General features: G+C 45.3%; 3 annotated features.

Moving 5' to 3' along the window:
• Nucleotides 571–771: a silencer, noted in NCBI's record as "peak6716 fragment used in MPRA reporter construct". NCBI's record gives its function as "represses an SCP1 promoter by STARR-seq MPRAs in K562 erythroleukemia cells {active_cell/tissue: K562}" and the evidence as "EXISTENCE:reporter gene assay evidence [ECO:0000049][PMID:32103011]".
• Nucleotides 4,785–5,462: an enhancer, noted in NCBI's record as "NANOG-H3K27ac-H3K4me1 hESC enhancer chr7:128216565-128217242 (GRCh37/hg19 assembly coordinates)". NCBI's record gives its function as "activates a minimal SCP1, AML or CMV promoter by ChIP-STARR-seq in naive H9 embryonic stem cells {active_cell/tissue: H9 hESC(naive)}" and the evidence as "EXISTENCE:reporter gene assay evidence [ECO:0000049][PMID:30033119]".
• Nucleotides 5,463–6,140: an enhancer, noted in NCBI's record as "NANOG-H3K27ac-H3K4me1 hESC enhancer chr7:128215887-128216564 (GRCh37/hg19 assembly coordinates)". NCBI's record gives its function as "activates a minimal SCP1, AML or CMV promoter by ChIP-STARR-seq in naive H9 embryonic stem cells {active_cell/tissue: H9 hESC(naive)}" and the evidence as "EXISTENCE:reporter gene assay evidence [ECO:0000049][PMID:30033119]".

Here is an 8,368-nt window from a genome sequence, read left to right as displayed (position 1 = left end):
CTGAGTTGCCTAGAGGCAGGCAAGGAAAAGGTGGAGGATTAAGCTTTGGTTTCTATTTTAACACCTCATCTATACTCGGATTTGCATGATGATGAGGCTCAGCCACATTCATATAGCTGGCAAAAATGTCTACAGATCATTGAGTTTATCTCTTTTGTCTTCAGGTAAGATTCAACCTAAACTGACACATGAGAGATGGGTGGTCACACCATTAAAAACCAAATGAAAAAGGCATTTCAGGAAGAAAAGAGTGATAGACAACACCGAGAAATTCTACAAAACGTATCTGTCCCAAATAGATAATCTGCAATCTCATTTAATATCTTTTAGACTTTAATTGGTTTGAAACTTAAGAAAAACAGAGATACAGGCCTCTTCAACAGTTAACTAACAAACCTCAACCTGCCCAAATTGGATCTATCATCAAACATTTCTAACATTTTAAACTATGGCCAAGGATGGTCTGACACAATGGCTAATGCCTGTAATCTCAACACTTTGGGAGGTGGAGGCAGGCAGACCACATGATCTCAGGAGTTTGAGACCAGCCTGGGCAATATGGTGAAACCACGCCTCTACAAAAAAATACAAAAATTAGCCGGGCGTAGTGGTACATGCCTGTAGTATGAGCTACTCAGGAAGCTGATTTGGGAGAATCACTTGAGCCTAGGAGGCAGAGGTTGCAGTGAGTCATGATCGTACCACTGCACTCTAGCCTGAGTGACACAGCAAGACTGTCTCAAAAAAAAAAAAAAAAATTATATATATATGGCAAGGATGGCACAGTAATAGCCAAAACTTCTTAGTTGTTTTCGTAAGTTTAACTTATGTTTTCATAAGTGCTTTAATAATCACAATAATCCTAATGAAGGTTTTTACGAGACAGTAGAGGGGGAGAAAGTACATTTTAAAATACTTTAACAATACAGAAGCCTAAATCGCTTAGGAAATGAGTACTATTACACAACTCTACCAAGGCAAAGAAAAACAACTTTCCTAAAAATCAGTGACCTAAAATAAAAACTTCTGTCCCAGAGACCCTGTCTCCCAAGATCCCAGAGGCAATACCTAAGGCATTAGGGGATAGAGCACACTCTTGAGTAAGAGGTCTTACACAGTATCAACAAATAATGCGAAGACACTGGAGCAAATAAACATAATCCTACGTTAGCTTACTCAGGAATTCTCAACCTTGGCACCACTGATATTTTGGACCAGGTAATTCTTTTTTGCAGGGAGGCTGTCCTAACATTACAGAATGTTTACCAGCATCCCTGACTTCTGCCCAGTAGATGCCTATAGTGTCATCCCCATAACTCCGAGCAGTGACAACCAATAATGACTCCAGTTATTGACAAATGTCCCTGAGGGGCAAAACTGCCACCAACTGAGAACCATTTACTTAGGTATAATGTTTTTAAGACCTTCAGATCTCTCTTACAGGCTGGAAACATACCTATCACAAATCTGTATAGCATTAGTTTTTCTAGTACATTACTGAGTAAGCTCTGGAGATAACTCAATTATGCCAGAAGCTGGTCAAATTTTAAAATAAAAATAAACCCTACAGGAACATACAAATTTGGCAAGGGAAAAAACCTAATGTTTCGATTGGAATCAATTCTTTGATAGACTACTAAGCTGTAGGATTAGAGGTAATTTATTATATAGAGATAATAGGATTGGCTCTTCTGTAAAAAGCTAATTTACTGATAACAGATTTGAATCAAAGTAAGGGATTCATAGGTAAAACTATGAACTTTTCTCCCTAATGCTTCATTCCCTGTGGGTAATTAATGAAAGAGAAACTTTGCTTGAGTGTTTCTGGGCATCTTGTCTCCTACAACAGGTGTCAAATTTCTCCAGGTGAATGCTTACCGGTAAGGGATTGGATAAGGAATGTTGCGGTGAGGATCGTGCAACTGGTGGAACACTTCTGCCAGGGCTGGTTCCTGGCCCGCTTCCCCCAGCAAACTGGCCAACAGGGAAAAACAGATATGAATAATTCAAAACAGTACTATGCTTCAGATAAGGAGAGTAAAAGATTAATACACAAACAGATCTTAATTATATGGCCCCTTTAAGTTAACACATCTTACTCTAGAGAGAAAATGCCACACAAGTCAAATTCTGCTAATTTTTAATGAGATTTTTAAGAAGGAGCTCCAGCAGAAATATACCAAGATATAAAGAAAACATGGCTAGAAAGCTGAAGGTATACATGATTTTGAAAGGACATGAGAGAAGAATGTTTTCCCTTCTTGTCTCAAAATACACAAAGCAGAAATGCAGTAGTGCAGTGGATGTTAGTGTCTTTAGTAACCACTAACGATGGGTCAGGGAACTCACTACATGTTCCACTGGACTAAAGGGAGGAGGATAAAAGAAGAGTCCAAGTCATTCCACCTCAATCTTTGTAAGACACAAAACCTCGTCTGGCCAAGAGAAAAATCACCTCATTTGTGAATTCTTATATCATCACAGACAAGACACATAATAAATTTAAATTTAGGAAGGCAGCAGCAGTTTTCTCTTATTGAGAGATGGGGCAGCATTAACTGATGAAGATGGGGAGAAAGGGAAGAAGAGTACAGTAAAGGCAAAACATTACTTTCTTTCTTTCTTTTTTTCTTTTTTTTGGAGACAGGGTCTCACTGTCACCCAGGCTGGAGTGCAGTAGATCATGGCTCACTGCAGCCTCGACTTCTCAAGCTCAAGTGATCCTCCCACCTCAGCCTCCCAAGTAGCCAGGACTATAAGTGTGTGCCACCACACCTGGCTAATTTTTTCTGTTTTTTGTAGAGACAGGGTTTCCCCATGTTGCCCAGGTTGGTCTCGAACTCCTGGGTTCAAGCGATCCTCCCATCTCGGCCTCCCAAAGTGCTGGGATTACAAGCATAAGCCACCTTGCCTGGCCAAAATATTACTTTCTAAAGCCTCAAATGAACACAAGGATTTAGGGTTTTTAAAAAAAATCACTATAGAGTTTTTTTGTTTTGTTTTGTTTTTTTGTTTGTTTTTTCAAAAAATGTAACTTACCTCAAAGTAATCACTAATTTTATGTCCCCTAGGAGTGCCTTTCCCTGAAAATGAAACCAAAGTAAATACAGTTTTTCCAATACACATATAAACCATCATTCACTAAAATGTACTATACATTCAGTAACTACATACATTGCTATAAACCCAAGTGTCAGCTTTACTTGTAACAAATGAGCCAAAATACCTTAGCCTAAGAACAGACTATTTCCTCCATAAAATAAAGGACTGAACAAGCAGTGAAAGGAAGAATTTTTCACAGGTTTAAGATTCTGTAATTTTTCTTGTCACTTTGGGAGAATTTTGCTCCCAAAGACAAAATGAATTATCTGTAGATTTTAAAAGATAAGAAGGATGCAACAAGACTGGGCTTTCTATTCCTTAGAATGGGAGAAAAAAAGCCAAGCCATTTTTTCTTTCTTTGATTATATAAAGATATTTGGCATTATAACCATCATGTTTACAGATTTATCCCAGTGGGTTCCAATATTCAACTAAACAACTGCCATGGAAGAGCAGTAGGCAGAAAGGACAGTAATGTAAATGAAGCACTTTCAGCCGGCTGTCATTAACAAATCACTGATCTAACAAAAGACAGAGTTAAAACTCTGACATAACCTCTATTTGTACAATATATGCTTGGTGTAAAGAAAAACCTGTGGTTAAGAAGATTGTTAGCTTACAACAGGGAAAACAAAGAGTCCCCGAAGAACTAACACTGTTTTGTCAGGTATATATCAAATGGCAAGTCTGTAATAAACAGTCTGATATTCCCTTAAGATACACAAACCTCCTTTATCAGGAATCCCTGTGTACAAACTAATTATTTAGTATGAGTTAGAAAATTCTATCTAAGTACATTAGAATTGAGTACTTTTGTTGATACGAAATTATTACTACCTTGGCTAGTTTCATATGGTTCAGCTTTTCTTTTCCGATTTCGCTGATCATTCTGCTTTTTGTCGGGAGTCTGTTAAATACCTTATAAGTCACAATTAGCATTTTGGTAAATTTTTCACGTTAGGAAAAGCAGTGAGTATACACAAAATATTGAATATATAAACAGATATAACTGGCCCAGACAACTCCTGAATCACTGTCTTCCTCTTAAAACTGAGTATAACAAAGAGTATTGACTCCCCACAAGAACTGGCCTTTAGCTCTCCCTCTCCCTCTCCCTCTCCCCCTTCTCCCTCTCCCTCTCCCTCTCCCCCCTCTCCCTCTCCCCACGGTCTCCCTCTCCCTCTCTTTCCACGGTCTCCCACTGATGCCGAGCCAAAGCTGGACTGTACTGCTGCCATCTCGGCTCACTGCAGCCTCCCTGCCTGATTCTCCTGCCTCAGCCTGCCGAGTGCCTGCGATTGCAGGCGCGCGCCACCACGCCTGACTGGTTTTCGTATTTTTTTGGTGGAGACGGGGTTTCGCTGTGTTGGCCGGGCTGGTCTCCAGCTCCTAACTGCAAGTGATCCGCCAGCCTCGGCCTCCTGAGGTGCCGGGATTGCAGACGGAGTCTGGTTCACTCAGTGCTCAATGGTGCCCAGGCTAGAGTGCAGTGGCGTGATCTCGGCTCGCTACAACCTCCACCTCCCAGCCGCCTGCCTTGGCCTCCCAAAGTGCCAAGATTGCAGCCTCTGCCCGGCCGCCACCCCGTCTGAGAAGTGAGGAGACCCTCCGCCTGGCAACCGCCCCATATGAGAAGTGAGGAGCCCCTCCGCCCGGCAGCCACCCCGTCTGGGAAGTGAGGAGCGTCTCTGCCCGGCACCCACCCCATCCGGGAGGGAGGTGGGGGGATCAGCCCCCCGCCCGGCCAGCCGCCCCGTCTGGGAGGGAGGTGGGGGGGTCAGCCCCCTGCCCGGCCAGCCACCCCGTCCGGGAGGTGAGGGGCGCCTCTGCCCGGCCGCCCCTACTGGGAAGTGAGGATCCCCTCTGCCCGGCCAGCCGCCCCGTCCGGGAAGGAGGTGGGGGGGTCAGCCCCCCGCCCGGCCAGCCGCCCCATCCGGGAGGAAGATGGGGGGGTCAGCCCCCCACCCGGCCAGCCACCCCGTCCGGGAGGGAGGTGGGGGGGTCAGCTCCCCGCCCGGCCAGCCGCCCCGTCCGGGAGGTGAGGGGCGCCTCTGCCCGGCCGCCCCTACTGGGAAGTAAGGAGCCCCTCTGCCCGGCCAGCCGCCCAGTCCGGGAGGGAGGTGGGGGGTCAGCCCCCCACCCGGCCAGCCGCCCCGTCCAGGAGGGAGGTGGGGGGGGTCAGCCCCCCACCCAGCCAGCCGCCCCGTCCAGGAGGGAGGTGGGGGGGTCAGCCCCCCGCCCGGCCAGCCGCCCGGTCCGGGAGGTGAGGGGCGCCTCTGCCCGGCTGCCCCTACTGGGAAGTGAGGAGCCCCTCTGCCCAGCCACCACCCCGTCTGGGAGGTGTACCCAACAGCTCATTGAGAACGGGCCATGATGACAATGGCGGTTTTGTGGAATAGAAAGGGGGGAAAGGCGGGGAAAGGATTGAGAAATCGGGTGGTTGCCATGTCTGTGTAGAAAGAGGTAGACACGGGAGACTTTTCATTTTGTTCTGTACTAAGAAAAATTCTTCTGCCTTGTGATCCTGTTGATCGGTGACCCTACCCCCAACCCTGTGCTCTCTGAAACATGTGCTGTGTCCACTCAGGGTTAAATGGATTAAGAGTGGTGCAAGATGTGCTTTGTTAAACAGATGCTTGAAGGCAGCATGCTCGTTAAGAGTCATCACCACTCCCTAATCTCAAGTACCCAGGGACACAAACACTGCGGAAGGCCGCAGGGTCCTCTGCATAGGAAAACCAGAGACCTTTGTTCACTTGTTTATCTGCTGACCCTCCCTCCACTATTGTCCTATGACCCTGCCAAATCCCCCTCTGTGAGAAACACCCAAGAATGATCAATAAAAAAAAATTTAAAAAAAACAAAAAAAAAAACAAAGAGTATTAGGGTCTAGAATCAAACCATCCACATAATTTTTGGCAAACTGCTTAAAATATCAGAGCTTGAGTTTATTCATCTGTAAATCAGAGCTGCTACAAAACTTTCATAAGATATTTAATAGAGCACAAATGTAGGACAAATGTCCACCATATGTTAAGTTCTCAGAAAACTGCTGTTACACTACTTCTACTTTAAATCCAATCTTTTTTCCAAAAAGGAGAGATCTGCAAAGTACAAAGTAGGTGGCTACAGACTTACACTTAGACCCATCTACAGGCAGCTAGGTTATATGCCAAATAAAAAAAAAAATCTCATGCATGAGGGCTGTGAATAGTTAAGCAAATGAACAAAAAATCTTCACCAGGCACTGTGGCTCATGTCTGTAATCCCAGCACTTTGGAGGCTGAGGTGGGAGGATGGCTTGAGTTCCAGACCAGCCTGGGCAACACAGCGAGGCCCCGCCTCCAAAAATATTTATAAAAATTAGCCAGGCATAGTAGCACCTAGCTACTCAGGAGGCTGAGACAGGAGGACTGCTTGAGTTCAGGAGTGTCAGGTTACAATGAGCTATGATTGCACCACTGCACTCCAGCCTGCATGACAGAGCGAGGCCATGTCTCAAAAAAAGTTGTAAAAGTAAAATCAGTCAATCAATTTTATCTTCCATTTAAACAGGAACAATATTGCAAATTTCTGTCCTTTACTGATGGCAACTATGCAAAAATTTTAAGACATGTAAGATCCACACATGATTATAATAAAAACCTGTGAGGGCCACATCATAACCGTACGTATGCAAAGAGCACACAACTCAAAGGGGAGCAATTTACACAGAGTCTAACAGCACCCAGGGAGTTAATTAAGCAGTGCTATCTTTTCTGTGAGATGGGGGTCTCACTCTGTCGCCCAGGATGGAGTGCAATGGTGCCATCACAGCTCACTGCAGCCTCATTCTCTTGGGTGCAAACGATCTTCCCACCTCCAAGTAGCTGGGGCCACAGGTGTGGCACCACCACGCCCTGCTAAGTTTTTTTGTAGAAACGAGTTCTCACTATGTTGCCCAGGCTGGTCTCCAACTCCCAGCCTCAAGCTATCTGCCCGCCTCAGCCTCCCAAAGTGCTGGGATTATAGCCTTGAGCCACCAAACCTGGCCCAAAAGTACAAGTATGAAAAGTCCTGCCATGAACATAGCTTCTTACCTCTACTCCTTTATCACTCAAGGATCTGACGCTACACAAGCTCTGGTTGGAAGACTCACTATTAAGTGGTCCCTGAAAGAAAAAAAAAATCATAAATAAATAAATTTTAATCCTAAGAGGATAGCAAAACTGAAGAAGCAGCCTGATGATTTTTTTTTTTTTTTTTTTTTTTTTTTTAGACAGAGTTTCACTGTTGTCACCCCGGCTGGAATGCAATGGCGTGATCTCGGCTCACTGCAACCTCTGCCTCCTGGGTTCAAGTGATTCTCCCACCTCAGACTCTCGAGTAGCTGGGATTACAGATGCCCACCACCACGCCCGGCTGATTTTTGTATTTTTAGTAAAGATGGGGTTTCACCATGTTGGCCAGGCTGGTCTCGATCTCCTGACCTCAGGTGATCCGCCTGTCTCGACCTCCCAAAGTGCTGGGATTACAGTTGTGAGCCACCGCGCCCATCCCTGAGGGTTCTCTTTATTCCTGGGAAGAATGCGACTTCGCGTTTCTCATCTTCCCCTGACTTTTCTGTTGCTGAGGCTGTCTCAGGCAAGTACTCTCAGAGGCAGGGGCTCCCTTCTTCTGCTCAATCCCTACTTGTGGAAAAGGGGCTCTTTCATAGGCATGACACACTGAGAATACTGGGAATCCAACGACCCTTTCCACCAGCTCATGGGACAGTGGTTCCACAACTGGAGAGACAAGCCAAGAGGACCCCAGGCTGCTGACCTGCCCCATACCCTCCTAGAGCTGGGGTAGCATTCACAGAAAAGCTTGCCATTGTCCCCACCTAGTTTACCACTAGAACCCTGGCTCAGATACTTTGCCTAAGGGAAGAAGCAGGAACACAGAGTATCTCAAAGGACCTAACTTCACTTGCAAGAGTGTGACAAGTTTCAGTCTAAGGGTGTTCCCAAAAACAATAGGGGTTGTGGTACTAGGCAAGTGGAAAGAGGTTCCTGGATGTAATGAAGATACAGCCTGGACTGTAGACTGGCTAGTTTGTAGGAGAGACCCAGGGCATAAAACAGCCACAAGGAGCCTTCCTTTTATAACTGACTAGTTCAGCAAGGTTGTAGAATACAAGACTGATAGACAAAAATCCATTTTTTTATACTTGCAATGAACAATCTGAAAATGAAGAAAATAATTCCATACACAGAAGCATCAAGAGGAAGAAATAATTTTGTAT

Source organism: Homo sapiens, chromosome 7 (genome assembly GCF_000001405.40).
Source record: "Homo sapiens chromosome 7, GRCh38.p14 Primary Assembly".
In the NCBI taxonomy this organism is placed as follows: Eukaryota; Metazoa; Chordata; class Mammalia; order Primates; family Hominidae; genus Homo; species Homo sapiens.
Note: the sequence above shows the minus strand (reverse complement) of the source record. Positions and strands in the feature narration are given on the sequence as shown.